General features: G+C 38.9%; 1 long non-coding RNA gene across 1 annotated transcript in view; it reads right to left on the bottom strand.

The window, feature by feature from the left end:
- Window positions 1-2,194: 2,194 nt before the first annotated feature.
- The window catches only part of LOC107986623 (uncharacterized), a 324,476-nt gene continuing 307,779 nt past the window's right edge, over window positions 2,195-18,891 (bottom strand). The window contains exon 4 of the long non-coding RNA XR_001744259.1: window positions 2,195-2,725. This is a non-coding gene — a long non-coding RNA (uncharacterized LOC107986623). The remainder of the gene's footprint in view (window positions 2,726-18,891) is intronic.

The following is an 18,891-nucleotide window of genomic DNA, read 5'->3' as shown; positions in this document are numbered from 1 at the left end:
GAACCTGAACTAGGGAAATAATTACACATGTGTATAAGAATGTGTGCAGACGTATGCTGAAAAAAATATTATTTATAATAGGAAAAGGTTGACAAACCTAAATGCCTCAATTTAGAGATTTGTTTTTTAAAATTTCAATGCATTTGTAAAATAGAAAATTAACACACCCATTAAAGTGATGCTATCAATTTTTATTTGTTAAAAAAAGATAGCACTAACGAACTCTATGATTTATAAACACATGCACATACATACTCACCCTGAATTGCTTCTAGAATTGTTTCTTACTCACCTATATTGTGTCTAGTCAACGACCATATTTTCAGCAGTTCCCAAAGTAACTTATCTTTGAAAGAACTGAGTCACTTTACTTAATTATAAGGCAATTTGAAAATCATCCCAAGTGATGTGATATAAAAATGTACTTATAATTAAATTAATTAAAATGATTATTGTGTTTAGAAATTCAGAACATCCTTTCACTCAACAAAAATATTTCTTGGTAATCCCAACATTTCTTCTGCTTCATTTGAAACCAAGGTTCTCCTGTGATTATTTCATTTTTCTCCTGATTTTGACTGATTCTGTGGGCCCACAGCCATCACACTAAATAAACTGCATACAACAGCAGAAAGCTGCTGCCTCTCCTAGGAGATATGTTCATTGCTTGCTGATCCTGTCAGGGGCCTCCTTCCAATCATGTGAACTGGGACATTGTAGAAACACACCAACAGAAGTACATGCTATATTTGTTTTTTCCCAAAATAACCATCCTTCAGACTCTTAAATCATGACTTTTATGACCTCCTAATGATCAGTGCCTGAAATCTCCAGGTTCTCAAAGCCCCTTCTAAAATGCAACACAAGATGCATTGAGCGTGGCTGGCACAACTGATGTCTGACATTGCTTGACTTGGGAAACCTACATCTGTTCACATAGTCCAAAAGTATACAAAGTCTTAGAGCAAAAGTGTGCCTGTTGATTCATTTTGAACTTGTATTACCCAAAATGATAAGGTATTTTTATATGAACTACCATCAAGCAAAATCTAGCCAAATACTCCGTGAAACTAACTTAAGATATTGATCTCCTATTAAATTTCTTTCTTTTTTCCTTAGTCCATCAGTATTATTTTAATTTAATTTCCTTAGTCCAACATATTCACTATTTGGTGATTTATAATCACAACTTTTATAAACAAGCACTCTTTGTCTTCCTTAGTATTTGTAGTATGATATAGGTTTAGGTTATTAAATAATGAGACAGAAAAAAATTAAGGACAGAGAGCCTTAGAGATATTGATACAAGAGAGTCCAGGCAGTGAAGAAGAGGAAGACAGGGGCTTTAAAATGCTGGTAGAGAGCAGAGACTCCAAGTTACACATTTGATCTTTGGAGTCCTTGTTACCCTTAAGTCCATATATGTTGTTTAGTTTAATTGATCTTGACAAAGCAGTGATGCTCTCTCCTCCAGAAAAGGACAGAAACAGGTTACAAGATTACTTGGCATTTACAAATAAAGCTAACTCTACCCGAAGATAAACTTTAGCCAGAATTTATTTTTGCAATTTCTAGTACATTCAGAGAATAATAATGGGTAATACCACCTGCACATTTACAGAATTAATATATTTAATAAAATATATTGGCTGGCTCCTCCTGCCACAAGGAATAGTTTCTTGTATGAGTACCGGTGAAAAGACATCTGTGTTGGGTCACTCTTCCAGGGTTAGATTCTAGCTCTTATACTTAATATGTTAATCTCAGATAAGTCATCTTAACCACTCTGTGCCTCAGTTCCTCAGTTTACGCATCTGTAAAAATGTTTACCTCTCTGTAAGAGATAATCAGCACTAACATTTATTGAGTATTATGTGCCAGGAACTGTTCTGAGAGTTTTAGATATTTTAATGTATTTAATCATCGATAAAGATAAGTGCCCGTTTCACCAATAAGAAATACAAGACACAGAGAGGTTAAACACTTGCCCAAGCTCACACATTTAGTTAAGTAACAGAGCCCAGATTTAAAACCCAGTCTGGATCCAAGACATAAGCTTTTATTTACTGGACTATCCTGATTCTCTACGGGGTAAAAATACCACATACCTCAAAGGGTTAATATGAGAATTATAAGAAACATTATAAGAAAAATACTTGGAATCATTAAAGTTCAAATATGTATCTATTGTTACTATTGTTTTAAAACCAGACATTTTTGTGCCTCCAATAGCACATTCCCCACACACCTTTCAAGGGATTTTCAATGCAGCACAGGACAGCTTATCATTTTAAAATACTACATCAATTTGAACAGTTTCAAAATGATAACAATTCATTTCAAATATGTTTTACATCTAGTATTGTAATTTGCTATAGACACGTGCTAATTCATACCATACCACATCTACTGAATATCTAAATAGAATTTTCACAAATAGAATTAATTAGAGAGATATTTGGAGAGTTTAACATTTAAAGAAATCTCAAGATAAGTGCTTTTTCAGGCAAATAGTTCTTTTGAAACAAAAATACTTTACCTCACCTTCCCACGTAAACCTATGCTTGGTAGTCTCAGGGCAGAGCAAAACTAAGGTGTCAAATGACAAAGGTGGATGTGTCTGAGCTGTTAGCTACCTGAGGCCACAGAGCAGTGATGGAGGAGTGTTTGGGTCACATGTCTACACTCATAAGCAAGCAGCCAGCCACCAATTCCAAAGAAGAACCTAAAAGAAAAGAAAAAAAAAATGCCATCAAACTAGCAGGCCAAACTATGCGCTAGTGCAAAGTGTAAAAACGGAGAGATAACACAAAGGTTAGAGAGAAAAATACAATCCCCTTGCTTTGTCATTGTGTCATCTGTCGGCGAGTATGAAGATTTCTTTGCTAAGGAGTTGCCTAAGCCTCTGAGATACTCAAAGGCATAAAAAGTGTAGTACTCTTTCTTCACAAAGGAGAGGACTGAAACACCAACCAGCATAACCAATAGGCTTAGTGACTCAAAGTACAGCATGGACAAGGAGCCAGAGAAAAACCAAGAAGTAGGTTTACGAGTCCCTGAACAAGGCCAATAAATCCTTCAGCACATAGGTGTCAAGGCCTCAGTCTGTGCACCAGATGCAGCTTGATGGATGGGTTTATCTGCCCCAAAAGGCATATAGAGATTGTTCTGCCTTTGGCCCCACACATAGGTGAGACAGAGTTCTAGTGTTTTCCCCCTCCAGCCTTTTTAAAATGTATTACATGTGTCCCACTCAGTATTTCCAATTCTTTGCCTTCCAGTTTTAGCACTAAATCTTAGATCCAAAGTATACAAGGAGTGTGTTTACTATGCTTAGACTTCCAGGACATCTTACTTTTGAACAAAGTCCAGAAAAATATAATATCTCTATTAATTTGACTCACTTGAAATAGAATGATATCTTTTCCTCCTGTGTCTCACAATAATCAGGATCAACTTAGCACATTTTGGAGATGTTTCCAGTGTTCTTCCAATCACTTATAAAAGATAGTATTTAGCAGCACAGACCCAGGAAATAGTCCAGTGTGTCTCAGGCATACTTTCTGTTCACTCACCACTATCTATATAGGTCAGGTTCAAATGCTGGCCAAAAAGGTCCAGAAGTGAATTATAGAATTTTGTCATAGGAGAAATTCAGCCCACAGAGACGTAGCTTTATGAATTAGAGAGAGCACAAAGTTTAGCTCTGCTTCCAAAGAGCAAAAAAGGGTAACATATGTGGTCTGAATCAATAGAAGAATTAGGGTAGAAGATAAAGGGAGATGTTCAAGGAGCACACTGCCCTGATAAGCACTGAATTCCTTGCCTGGATAATTTGTCACCAGGGATGTCCTAGATGGAATAGTACTCTCATCGGACCATGCTACTCAGCCATCTTCCAAGTAGACCAAACATCCTGCTAACTCAATAGCTTCATACTTGCTGACCTCTCTTCTTGGACTGCTCTTCTCTGAGACCTTTACATATCCCATCCCCTACATCTTCATCCATGCCCATGTTTCATTTATCCCAGGAATGCAAAGATAGTTTGTATAAAAAATGAGCCATTAATGGAAAATATTATGCTGACAGATTAAAATAGAAAAAACTAAATGATTAGCTCAGCATATGCAAAAACAAGTTCAACAAAATTCAAGACTCATGATTTAAAATAAAATTGTTAGAAAGTATAATGCTGTTCTAGGAAATTTTCTTGACCTCACCAAAGGCATCAATCAAAACCCACAGCTCCAGTATACTTAAAGATGGTTAAGAAAGATGTGTTATGTGTTTTTTACCAGAATAAAAATTTCTGATCTTAAAAAAGTAAAATAAACCTGCAGCAATCAGCAGCCTGTGACTGCATAATACTGACATCAGATAAAAGACACAAAAGCCTTCTATTATAGTTTCCATTCAACTTTGCACTATATATTATAGATGATGCAATAAGACAAGAAAAATAGAAAACATAAAGGCTGAATGAAGAAATAAAACTGCTTGCCTATGCAGAAAATTGAAGGAGACTTACAAACTTATGATTAGGGCTTTAAAAGAATAGAGTACTTCTATATACCCATATATACAAATCAAAAATTATAAATGAAAAAAATACAACCTTCCATTTAAAATGGCAAGCAAAATCTTTAGCTTCTTCAAAATACACCTAAGAAATAAGACTCAACATTTTTATGGATAAAAATATAAAATATGAGGAAAATATAAGTGAAGCACATAAATTGTGACCTAAATAGAGCACTATGTCATGCTAGTGGATTAGAAGGCATATATAAAGATATAAGTTTCTCCAAATTCATCTGTATCACCAGTGTATTCAGCTTATAATGCCAACAGAGTTTTTCATGGAACTTGACACAAAAGAGCAAAATGTCAAAAGTAGTTTATTTTTAAAAGAAACAAAGTGAAAAAAACCGTAACAGATATTAAATGTATTTTAAAGCTATTTTGAAATACGCTATTGATGCAAGTTAAACACGTTGATGAATCAAACAGAATAGGAAGCTCAGAAAGAACACTTTGCATATATGGCTACCTTTTACATGACAGAATGGACATTATAAATCTATGAAAAAATTAAAATAGAGCACTCAAAACTTTTGTTGAGATAATTGGTTATCAATACGGAAAAAATAGAAACATACTTCACACCATAAATAACAAATTCCACCTGAACTAAAGATCTATGCATAAAAACCAAAACTCTTATAATTTTCATTAAAAAATGTAGGCATATGCCTTTACCAACTTGGGTGAGGGCAGAATTTTCTAGACAAGTTGCAGAAAAGCTCAACCTATAAAGGAAACAACTGATGCATTGAACTAATTATAAGATTTAAATTTTTTCACAAAAAGATAGTATAATCAAAGTTAAAAGACAAGTCACAGACTTGGAACAGTCTGTTACATCAATAAAACGAATAGATAATTAGTATCTAAAAATACTTAAAGAACTCCTTCAAATCAATAAGGAAAAGAAAACTCAATAAAAAATGGGCAAGGGATGGATGGAAACTGAGGAGGAATAGCAAATGGCCAATAAACACTTGAAAAAGGCTCTCAGCCCAATTGATAATAAAATGTAAACAATGAGATGCCATTCATTCCCATTTCACACCCACCAGATTGGTAAAAATGTTACAGTTGGCAAGGATGTACAGCAATGGAAATTCTCATGCACTGACATTAGGAGCGTGAATTAGCCTGACTGTTTGGAGAGCCATTTGGCAGTAACAAGTAAATCTGTTGGTGTTCATACCCTGTAAGCCAGGAATTCCTCTTCTGAGTGTTCTTCTTCAGATATTTTTGCATATCATATTCAGGCACTGCACGCAAAAATGTTCATTTTCTTTTTATACTTCTCATTGAAAGAAGTAAATACTCATCAATAGGAGAATAGATAAATATATTATGGCATATTTAGACAATAATATATGATATAGCAGTTAAACATAATTTTAACAATAAGAGCAAATACATAGTGCTTACAATGTATTTGTAACACAAAGCCTTGTGTTGTTCTAAGTGACTTATATATGTTAATTTATATAATATTTAACTGTATTCTTATTAATATTTAATATTAAGCACAAGTCACAATAGTAGCAAGCCTGAGAGATTGGTATTATTATAATCTCATTAATAGAGGAGGGAACTGAGGCACAGAAAGAGCAAATTATTTACCTGGTCATACAGCTAGTTAGTGGCAAAGAAGTATTCCAATGCAGTCTAGCTCTTAACTTCACTAACCTACTACTTCCAAACTAAAAACAAAATTGTATAGTATGATACCATTCATATTTATTTTTAAAACTGAAAAATAATATAAAATTAAAAGATATGGTTATACATTGCAGAACTATAAAAATATAAATCACATTTATATTTATTATATAATTTATAATAATAACATTTTATAATAATTTGCAATATATAGTCCACATTCCAAATGTCTTATGCCATCCTTTACTTCTGATTCAAATCTCTCCCAGGTAAAGAAACATGAGGTCATCAGCTGCGATAAAACACCTGATGATGTACTTCTCGCTTCAGTTCACTCCCTAAGGCAGTGAACAGATATGGTCGGGTAAAGCAGTCACTTCCAGCCTCAGTGTCACTGCAGCCATAGTACAGTGGTCTTTGATATGTCTGTGACTATAGCAGGAGTGTTTGAAGAGACTAAGAGTGGAGAGAGGTGGGGGTCAAGAAAGGGAAGCGAACACCACCCCTTCTCATATCAGGCTTCAAATCCACCTGTCCCAGCTTTACATGGGTTTGTGCAGTCAAAACCACCAGTTTGGGCTTCACTACAGGTTCAGCCTACAATGTGGACACTTCAAAGACTTCAAAGGTAGGGGACACAGTACTGTATCTGGAGTGAAACCAAAAAATGTGAGATTTAGCAAAGCTTTCGGAGGGTGGTCCAAGGGCTTGAAGTGATTTCCACTTAAATACACTGTAAGTGAGTGAACAAAAAAAGAATCAAAAAATAATAGGCCAGAGAAAGAAAAAAAATCTCATTTTTCTCTTTTGTTAATGCTATAGAAATATCAATGCTGGGGGCTTGGTGAGATTTTATAAAGTCTGATCCACATATCTGAGCCTGACTTTCAGCAGCAAAATTCAGGAGGCTCTACTTTCATGCTTTTCTACCCAGTTCCATTTTTAAATAATTGATAGGTAAAAGGAAAAGAAAGGAAAATCTAATAGGAGGCTGCTCTATGCCAAGTTACATGCTAGGTGTTCAATTATGTTTTATCTCATACTCATAACAACCCTATGAGGTAGCACAATTATCTCTTATTTACAAATGAGTAAACTGAGGCTTAAAGTGGCTAATTCAATTTGTTCTTCTAAGGTACAGAACAGAATTCAGTCCAACATTTTTGAAGCTGCGAAGCTCATGCCTTTTCACCATGCCATGTGGCTTTATGATATTTGAATACAAAAATGGCCTAATGTAAATAAGCCAAAATACCATAATTACTACTAGTTAAAAATACTCATTTTTTAATTTATGTACAAGCTAAAAATGTTTCTTTGGATCTCCTGAAGAACTCACTGGGGGTGTATATTGTTTGAATTTGGTTTCCTGCAATATGCTTAGTGGTTTCATAAGGTTTTAACTAGTGCCCATCAGTAGTAATGGTGTGTATTGCAATGGGGGCTTGGGGGCTCTGAGTCCATTCTCTGAAGGTTTTCTGGCTTCTAGTGTTTGGGTTCTAAACAACTAGGAAAACAAGACATGGTTACAAGAGCCTTTCTAATTGGAAAATATAAGGTTTTTAAAACCAATTTCTCTATGAACTGCCCTGGCAAAATGAATATTGTTTAATTTTCATTTTGTATTAAAGACCTGGAAACCTGAGTAATATAGAAACTAATGATGAACTGAGCCAAGCGGAGGCTCCTTTGAGAGCCATAGCAATGTATTAAAACAAGAATTATTTTGTACACTGTGCTGTACTTCAACATCGGATCCTCAGCAGACTGCAAAATAACTTTCTAGATAATGAAATTATAAAAGAATTTTAATTTCATGTTAGAACTTGTATTACAAATTATTAGGAAAAGAAACAGGGGAGGAAATAATTCAAGCAAATTCCTCCTGTGGATCACCAAACTGGAAGGACTTTCTGCTTAGAAGACTTGTGAAAAGTTTCATCAGAAGCAGCAGAAATACTTTACATTTTCTAAACACAAAGTCTGTTTAAGAGCCATAGGAATGCATGTAAATGTCAAGGACATTTGAGGGCTATAAGTCAATAGCACGAAAAAGGGTCATTTTCACAATTATGCTAGACAAACATCACACCGTTTTAGGTATTAGGTTGGTGCAAAAGTAATTGCAGTTTTTGCCGTTACTTTCTCTTTTTTTTTTTTTTTTTTTTTTTTTTTTTTTTTTTTTTTTTTTTGAGACGGAGTCTCACTCTGTCGCCCAGGCTGGAGTGCAGTGGCACAATCTCGGCTCACTGCAAGCTCCGCCTCCCGGGTTCACGCCATTCTCCTGCCTCAGCCTCCCGAGTAACTGGGACTACAGGCGCCCACCACGACACCTGGCTAATTTTTTGTATTTTTAGTAGAGACGAGGTTTCACTGTGTTAACCAGGATCCACCCGCCTCGTGATCCACCCGCCTCGGCCTCCCAAAGTGCTGGGATTACAGGCGTGAGCCACCGCGCCCAGGCTTTGCTGTTACTTTCAATGACAAAAGACACAAATACTTTTGCACCAACCTAATACCATCGTTGCTTATTAAAAGGGATCATTGGATCAACAGCGAGGAGCTAAACATCATCAAGAACATCACATTCACGTTTCTGTAGGAGTTGATCCTGCGCAACCACATTCTTATAGAGGTAACGAGCTACCCCATTGCCCACAGAGCTGCTTCGCAAACATAGCTGATTTCTCTGTATAGACTTGGGATTTAGTCTATATGGAATAACTTGTGTACAAACCATCCTCAGTTTAATGAGGCAAAAGGTATTTCCTCAAAAATCTAAGGCAATCAGAGCTGATGCTGTAATAGAAGAATGTTTAGGTTGTTGTCCAATGGTTGGAATCTTCCCCATCCTATTGCTCTCTCATTTCAACAACACAATTGAGGGAAGTAAGTGTTCCCCTGGTGACTCCCTCACACTGTTACAGGATCCCTGGAGTGTCACTTTTCTGGCCAGAAACCTGTGGCCGGTGGCACCTTTGCCCGACTTTTGCTCAGGCCTGCTGGGCTCATTCCACCCACTCAGCCAGGCAGGCTGTGCTAGGCTCATGCTACTGACCTGGATCCACACCTGCCAAGGGTGAGCCAGGCGTGGAGTGGCGAGGGGTACACGAGCCAGTGTGAGTTCTGGCCACTGCGCATAGTCAGATGCTACTGCCGCGGGTTGGGCAGCTCCATGTACCGTCACAGGCACCAGCTCTCTGCAAGGCTGTGGCTGGACCAGGCACACTGCAACCAGCTTCCCTGGCTGGCAGCAGGCTGGCAGCAGGGAATACAGTGGTGCTTAGAAGCTTGGAGATGCCAGGAACTGCAGGGCCTCAAAGAGGGCATTACAGCCCTGGCTCTGAGAGCTCCCAAAGAGCCACAGCTCTTCTCTCCTCTTTGCCTGTAACATGGAGAGCAAGGGGCATGTTTCAGCCCTGTTTGTATTATCGCTCTTTTAGTCTTGCCATTCAGCAGGTGCCAAGTTCTTGTCCTGCTACCAGGAAGAATGAAGTATGCAGACAAGTAGGGGGTGAGCAAGATGAAGAAGAGCTTTATTGAACAGTAGAACAGCTCAGAAGAGACCCGCAGTGGGCAGCTCCTCTCTGTAGCCAGGGAGTCCCGACAAGTGTTCAGCTCCCAGCAGAGAGGGTAGTTGCTCTCTACAGCTGGTTGTCCCGTAGTCTCCTCAGCTCTCCTTCCTCTGAGTCTGGCTGAGTCCAGGGTTTTATGGGCCTCAGAGGGAAGGAAATGCACAGATTTGTCCGTGGGCAGCCATGGGCTGGCCAGGAAAAGGCACCACAAGTTCCCACTTCGGTCTGTAGGACTGGCACCCCAGCGTCCAGCCTTCAGGCCCTCTCTGGCATGAAGGTGGGGCCTCACCAGGGACCCACTCCCTTTGCCCAGAAGCCTGTCTGCCTCCTGCCACTGTCCATGGTGCCCAGGCTGCTCACGCCAAGGGGAACCTGCAGGCCAGCAGGTAGCCACACTTACACTGCCCTTGGGTTCCTCCCATACTCATCCATGCCCAAAACCTGGAGGGGCCAAGGCAGCATGGCGTTGGTGTGTCAGCAGTGCACCAAGTCTGTGCACACCCAGCCAGGCTGTGGCAGTGACTGGGCTCAGCCCCAACCCCACTCTGAGATTGGACAGGGCACCAGGATTAGGGAGAGGCCAGGCGGCGGGAGAAGACACTCCCCAGCCTGCATGGGAAAGGGGGGCCTTCCCAGGCACTCATGGGTGCAGACTGCAGAGACGCCCGGGTCCTGTGCCTGGGAAGGCAGAACTCCCATCAGCTCAGTGGAGCATGCGGGCAGCCCTGGCTACACCTCCTCCAGCCTGGGGCAGGAGCTCCAGGTTCTCTCTTAGGCCCTCTCTGCCCGCCCCTCCATGCCCTACCTTGCTGCTCCCGCGCTAATAGGCGGCTCCGCCTGGCCTCATTGCGGCGGCTTCCGGGGGCGGTGGGCTCCTAGGGGATGGCTCTCGCTTGTCCCCGGCTCCCGCTGGCTCCATGGAGCGCAGCACCACCCTGGGCCCAGCTCTGCCTCCTCGCTGCACCCTCCCCGCAGCAGCAGCCGGGGAGAGCAGCAACATGGGGCCAGGGTCCGAAGCAGCAGAGGGTCCAGGCCTGGGAGCAAATCCCGCCCCACCGTGCGAGGGTAGGGGCGGCTCAGTCAGCTGCATCGGGGATGTGGGGCACAGGGGACCAACCACTGCCATTGCTGCTCCTGCAGCCACCCCTGCTGCCACTGCCCACGCCTTCCCGGCTGCAGCCAGCGTGATGGCAGTGACGGCTCCAGATGGCCGGCAACTGCCATCAACACCAGAATGAGAGAGTGAATGAAAGCCCCTTCTGGTAGTTGGTCAGGATTTTTGCTGGCCTACAGGTAAAGTGCCTAACAAAAATCCCAAGCTAATTCCAGCCTGTCATAGATGGCTATCCCACAACAGGACAAAAGACCACTTTCAGGGTATACAGTATATTTCATCAAAATGTGCTCAATACCCATTAGAATAGTGTGGGTCATAAATAGTCATAGCTATTAGATAATGTATCATTGAAATTACATTGAAATTAATAATGATATTATAATATCATGTATATATTGAAACATGCCAAGGAAAGCAAACACATTTACCTATTTATATATATATATGTGCATATATATGTATATATACATGTATGTACATTTATATGTATGTATATTAAATTCAGTATAATTTGAAAGCTTTGAAAAGTACTTGAGGTGGCAAAGCAGAAGGATAGTAAATTAGTTTTTATTGACATTGGTAGATTTAGGCTACAGCTTGTTTTTTCATTCATTAGCCTAAAGAGAAAAATTACAAAATTATGCATAGTGTTTTATCTACAAAACAAATTTATAACTAAGTCGTCTAATGTTAAAACTGACGTTAAATGTCTTACATAAGTCCTCACAGGGCTAAAAACTTGATCTAGACTGAGAAAACATGTAGACATGAAGATAAAAGCAAGAATAGTACATTCGGTTTCATGTTGGAAAATATATCTACCTTAGAGCCCATGTTTCAATATCAGCTATGTAAACAAGTCTTTAAATCAATTTTATTCTGAATTCATTGTTGTATTCTGACCACCTTTAACAGACCTTCAGGAGATGTGCAATCTACTGGAAATGTGCACCAAAAGAACTTTGGTGGCAAAAAAAAAAAAAAAAAAAAAAAAAAAAAGCATGCTCCTCAAGTTCTCTCCTGTTGCTTTGGAGCAGACAGATGGACGTCTATCTTAGTGAAAAGCTTTAAGAGCGATTCCTATGAGACGCAAAAGCTGAGCATAGGGTTGAGAGCGGAGCCCCAGACACTGACCAATTCTAGCCCCCTACAGAGGACTTGTAGGACCTTGAACAAGCTACTTAACCTTTCGAAATCTACAATCTCCTTATCCTTAAGGTAAGGACAATAGTGCCTGCCTTTCGGGGCCATGAGGAGAAAATGAGATAGCACCTGTTAATCTCTCAGTGTCATTGTGGGCTGGCCTATGGAAAGCATGCAGGTGCTGGGTTTTCCTACCTGCTATAATTTTCATCATTCTTTAATTATTATTATATGCATCTCCCTTGCAAAAATGAACACATGTAGGTTGGGTAATCTTTGACATTTTTAAGTTAATTCTTACTGCGTTTGTCCTTTTCCCAGTCAGAGTTGTGTCCTGTGTTTTAGGGCTGAAAGCAAAAGTTGACTAAAACATCCCTGGGCCACCCCCTGGCTTTGGTTTCAAATGCTTAAATTCATAAAGGACTTTCTCAAAGACTTTTCAAGGTCAGGTAGAAAGTGGAGAATAGCAGGGCCTGTGTCTTTCTCCACAGTGTGTCCCAGGAACATCTCAGGACCACAGAAAGCAATTGCTTTGTGGTGCCCCAAGTGAAGCTGGTTTGGAGTTCTCAGGCTCAGCAAATATTTCTGAAACCAACCTGGCCTGGAACAAGAAGAACCACCATTTTTTGAGAACCATAATGACATCAGTGTGACCACTGTGACCTGAAAACAAGAGGGCGGTCTGTGAACATACTACTGCATATATTAGGTTGGTGCAAAAGTAATTGCTGTTTTTGCCATTGCTTTAATGGCAAAAACTGCAGCTACTTTTGCACCAACATAATAAAATTCCGGGCTTTTGTATCAATCTTCCCAGGAAGGGAGACATAGTAACGAAGGAGACTAAATTCCCTGCCACCCTGGTGTGGTGGGCACTCAGGATAACAGAAAAATAATACAGAAAAATACAGAATAATACAGAAAGATAATATGACATTTCTTGCACAACTGCATGTGTTAGTATACATATGCTCATATATGTACACGTGCACACACATTTATACATAAGGAGAAACATCCTGATTTTGGTAATTCTGGCAGATGATGGAATTCTTACTTTACAGACTGAAGTGAAAAGATGACAACAATAGCAGTATCTATTCTGTGCAATATCCATACAAACCAGAATTAAACTGATCTAACCTCCAAAAAATTTTCACCATTCACATTACTGCATTTAAAAATATCATATCTCAGAGGGCTCAGTAAGTTGATTGCTTATTGACTTTCCGGTGGGTCCATATAGTGTAATGAGTCTTTATATCTCTGTTTTTATATTGCTTATTGGATTTTTAAGATTAAACAAAGCCTATGAGAAAAATTATAGTGTTGGAAATTAGAAGAGGTGGTCAAGTGAGTACATTATTATCCTATCAAAAATACATTTAAATTTTCCAGAATAAATATTAAAACACTAGAAAGGTTACTTTTTAAAAGCTTCTTTTATAGAATTTGAAGAATAAAGCTTCTTTTAACAAGCAGTTCTTTATAAATTGACTATCTTTTTACAATGTTAGTTACCATAATACAAATTTCTATCGCCATGTAAAAGACTAACGGCCTTCTCCAGATTAGGTAATAAAGTCAGTTCCCAACTTGAATGAATTTGTGCCATTATATAAGAATTATAATGAGACTTTCCTCCTGGAATTTAGAAATAGCAGAAAAATTTCATGTTTGACTATAAAACAGTATAATCAGAATATTATTATAGAGGCAAAACTGATGACGACACCCCTCTATTTAAAATACTTTTAAGTGACTCCATAGGTCAGTGGCTAGAGCAATGGTCTTGTGAAACACTTCTAAGGTTTCCCATTATTCTTAGACTAGAGACCAACATTTTCAATATGGACTGTAAGTACTGCACTGGCCTCACCAGCCCAATCACATGCCACTCTTCCTCTTGGTTTCTGTCTCCACAGGCTTTGTTTCCTTAGCCAAAAACACTTATCTCCTGCCCATCTGGCTCCTCACTGGGCTAACTCTGTCCTATTCTTTCTCCTATTGTGTGTATTCTAAAGTATGCTACACTGGTCAGGCACAGTGGTTCACACTGTAATCCCAGCATTTTGGGAGGCTGAGGTGGGAAGATTGTTTGAGCCCAGGAGTTTGAGACCAGCCTGGGCAACAAAGTGAGACCCCATCTCTACAAAAACTGAAAAAGTTAAAAATAAAATAAAGTATGCTACATATCACCACAACATTCATTCTTCACATAATCAGTCATTCAGTGTTTGGCTTCCCCTAAGTGGTTCACTTATTCACTGCTGTATTGAGCCCTAGATTGAGCAGCAACAACTCAGAATCCTATTTGCTGAAGGAGTGACTGATGTCCCCGTGACACCTGATCCCAGCTTTCACTCCAGCCCTCTCCTCCACCACATAGAGACATTATGAAAGCATCCCCTTCTTGCAGTGAGTGAACAGAATCTCACTCCTCACCATAATAATTGCTCATGTGTTAGGGACCCATTCCTATGTTATTCTCAAATACTACATTTGCTTTGGGAAGAGTTGTTGTTGTTGTTGTTTTTAATTTCACCAAGCCAGCTTAAACTAAAAAATAATAATAAACTAAAATAAACCTCTACTAAGATTTAAATCTTCTTCTACTCTCTGCGTGTTTTTCTTGATAAAAATCATCCTTGAGAAACAATAGTGCTGAAGGGTAGAAAAGCCTCACAAAGAAGACACAGAACAGAGCACAAAGAAGATGATTAAAATCTGTATGGTCCCTAGACATAAAACCTTTTTTTTGAACCAAATCACCTTTATAGAAATTTTTGAATCAGGGAATGTACATTTGCCAGAACAAACAGCTCAGAACATGAATGAACTACATAAATCAGAATATAATCAGTTTTCACTCTGCCTGTTTATTGCTTCTGATGAAATTCTCTTACCAAGTCCTACTGAATTTGCCATTATCTGCTGTACCTGGGAAAAAAAATGATCCCAAAATACCCTAAATAATATTTGAAATGTATTTTAAATCTGGGGTCTATTTGGTTAGTGAGCTATATTACATTTTAAATACGATGCTAGACTATTACGTATTTATTTTCATAGTTTTCTTTACTGATTTGGCACAGTTTAGTTCAAATTGTACTCATAAAACCTAAGACAGACAAATGTTCAGGTCACATTTATTCTGGTCTTTTAAACTGCTCTGTTGTAACTACACAATGAAGCTAAAAGAGACATGGCTTTAGTAGCTGTGAGGATTTCTATTCATTCATGCCAAGTTCCACATTATATTTATCTCCTTGCTATCACTCAAGTACAGGCTCAATTCATTAAAAAATGGTCTTTGTGCTACCCCTATGAATCCATTCTTCTGGCTATATAAAATTAACTCCAAGTTCCCTTTGCATTTGTCTCAAAGTTTTTTGTTTCTTTGCATTCTTTAGTTGTATTTCTTCTATTGCTGAATGAATGGGAAAGAATTTAATTTGTAAATTCTGAGTCTCAGGTCCTCCGGGAGCCTATCTCTGCCTTAGGTTCCTTAGACCAAGGAATTAAAATGTTCCATAAGGTAGATGTTTCTGGACTGTATAAAGGGACCTTTTTTCTCTTAGCCTTAAATTACTGGACTATGAGAGTCAAGTTAATTTTCCTTCAGCTTTTTCTGCTGGGAGTGAAACATTTCAAATTTAAAACCATTTTTCTTTTTGTAAGCCTCAAGTGAATTATAGTTCTATGTGTTCGAGTATGTAAGTCAAAGAAAAGTAAAGTGACAATTGATTGTGTCATCTAGCCAAAAGATAGCAGAGATTTACTCACTCTGGTTGAGATTCAGGGTTAGGTCATGTAATACGATGACCCAACCTATCATAAGAACCAGGACAACTGCCAGTTTCATAAATCAGGACAACCGTGCCTGAGGGAGCGGTACCTACCAGAGTGATATCGCTGCCCCAGCCCCGTCTGGTACAGCTATCTTGCTGAGACAGCACACAGGATCGCCAGTGAAAGGCCTTCCCCATTTCCAATTACTCATTCATGTCAGTAAAGGAGTATGCCACTGTGGGGAAAAGCTACTTTTTTTTAATGGGGTATAATTACATTAAAATATGTGTTAAATTGCTCAAAATGAACTCATTCCTTCCCCCACATACCTATTCCATGTTTGGAGGACCCAGGTCCAGGGTGGCAAGGGGTTTAATCTGGCATTTCCTTTCATGAGCAAGTTATCCTGCAGCAGAGTGGCTCTGTGAGTAGCTATGAGAGAACCATAGTAGAGTGGCTATGTGATTGCCATCATCCAGCCTAAAACCATCAGGAAAATCTGCAGACTCAGAGTCAGGAAACAGAGGACCCAAAAAAAGGGAGTTCTAGGAACTCTTATGTCCTTCTGTGTTTTGAGCTCAAAAGAATTCACTCCCAGGAAGAGTGAGAAAGGCAGCCACCACTTTAGTAAACTCATTCTCCTTCTACTGCTGATTTGTAAACAAGCAGGAAATCATCCATGAAGAGGCTTCTGAGAGAACTGTTCTCAGGCTGTTTGACTTAGGATGAGGAAATGTACTTATAGGGAGGTTTTTCTGAACAAAAATTGCATTCATTTGTATATTTCTGATATCTCAACAGGCAGCCTAAAGTCTCATAAGCACTTCTGAGGTGAGTAGTTTTAGGAATCCAAAAGGATGAATGAGAGAAGTGAGAAACAGGAAGTGGGCATCAGGAGCCTAGGCCTGCCATTAAAGCCTCAATAGATTTATAAATTGCCTAACATATAAGTAGGATGAAAAAAGGAGCTAGAGTTATTTTTGGTTTCTTCTTCCATTTGTGTTATTTCCATGATCAATTACGTATGTTTCATGGATAGAGTTTCATTAATCATACACCGTATTTATTAAAAGCTGAGCAAATATGAAGCCTGAGTGTCGACCTTGGCTAAGATGAGGAAGACTTCTTCAAATTGCAACACAACATCACCATCTAGTGTCCAAAACCTGAAACTTAATTCAGTATCACTGACCTATAAAATCACGTACAGCAGCCTCAGGAAGAAACCATATTCAACAGATAAGGAAACTGAAACCCAAAGAGCTAAAATGATTTGCTCGTGTTCATAGAGCTGCAACTAGCCCAATCCTGGTTGCCCAAACTCAATTCAGTGTGACAAGGGAACATAACAGCTATTAAGCATTCAGATATTCTCAAGACAAAAGAGAAGATTCTCTTTTATAGCAGTCTTCACCTTTAAACAGATCTACCCTCAAGTTAGTGTATTAGAAGATAGCTACAACGGTATCAAATGTGGACAACTAGTTAGGAGGAACTTAATATAGATATAATTAATATAGATATAATTAAACAAACATCCAAGTTTATTTAAACAGAATAAAACAATAAGAACAGACAAAACTATAACAGCATTAGGTAAAGTATTTCCCAAAGGGCTTTAGTTAATAGCCTGTAAGATTCAGTACATCAATATCAAAGGAAATATATACCTTACTCATTTAATATTTTGCTTGGAAGTCAAAAGAAATGTTTTGAGTGTTTGTTTATCATTACCAGCTGTTCTGTCTAAACCCTCAAGAGATAGATTATAAGAGGAACTGAAAACAAGGACTATGGTGAGTCTCCTAATATTAATTGATGACTCTCTTAATATTCTATTATACAGATAAATTCTTCTAAACATCACATTTTAGCCTCTTCTAAGGTTTGTACACATCTATATCATTTATGAACCCATATCTAGCAGGATGTTTCTGTATCACAGACCTCAGGTTACTGTGGACTAGATTGGAGAAAGTGGGAAAGTACTTGGATGCAGTTTACTTTTCCATCTCATTCACAGATCCAGCATCAAGCAGATTAAATGTCAGTCTCTGTCCCTGCTTGCCCCAAAGGCAGGTTTTGTTCTGAGGTCTTCAGCCTCCTTCCTCCCAGCTGCTCCTGGGTTATCAGCAGCTAGTGTTCAGTACATACGGTGGAGACAGCTAATCATGCTAAAAATGCTTATGGCAATCTTCTGCCTTATGCTTGTTGGCTGACCTGTTATCTTTGTGCTTCTTCATGCCTTAGCTGACCAGTTGTGACAAAACCCCCTGCCAACTTGCTTAGCTGGAGTCCTGTCAGGGCCTCCACTGCCCTTCCCGCCCCAATTCCACTCTTGCCTGAGGGTTACAAGTTTTTAATCAAAGCCTTAATGCCAGGATTCTTAAGAAGGGGCAGGGAGCTTATCAGAATCACCTGGGGAGATTTTCCTAATTATAGCCCCCCACACACCTCATCTTTTCCTTACAGAGGGAGTGTTCCGTAACCCTCAGGTACATTGAGGAGGGAAAAAAGAAGTTGAAACCCATTGGCTTCAAGCAATGAGAGTAGTGAGGTTAATCTTCTTTTGATTCAGATGGAAAATATCTCAAAAGAGGGAAATGAAACCTTGTCTCCTAAGGATGAAACTATAATAAAACCTTAATTAATTTGGACCCCATTAATTCAAAACGTGTGATAATTAGAAAAATGGTTAGGTTAAAGTTTACCTTTCCTCTAGCTAGGGGAAAAGTGGCTGAAGATTACTTCCCTGTACCTAGGAAAAGTGAATTTGCTAAGCAAATTAATATTTCCAAAGAGAAAAATGTTTAACTGATTGAGCAAGTAAGTAGTTTTCAGGCAATTTAGGTACATTCAGCAGACAAACAAATGCTATTGTAATTATAAATGATCCCTTTCTAGTAATAGAATAGGCTTGCCCAAGGTTCTTTCCTAGGCAGCATTCTAGAAATAAAGTTATCCATTGGAAGTAATGAAATTAAATTTATTTTTGGACTCTACACAATTCTGACTGATGTTTTC

This window comes from Homo sapiens, chromosome 6 (genome assembly GCF_000001405.40).
Source record: "Homo sapiens chromosome 6, GRCh38.p14 Primary Assembly".
NCBI lineage: Eukaryota > Metazoa > Chordata > Mammalia > Primates > Hominidae > Homo > Homo sapiens.
The sequence above is the reverse complement of the archived record's forward strand: the minus strand, read 5'-3'. Positions and strand labels throughout refer to the sequence as shown.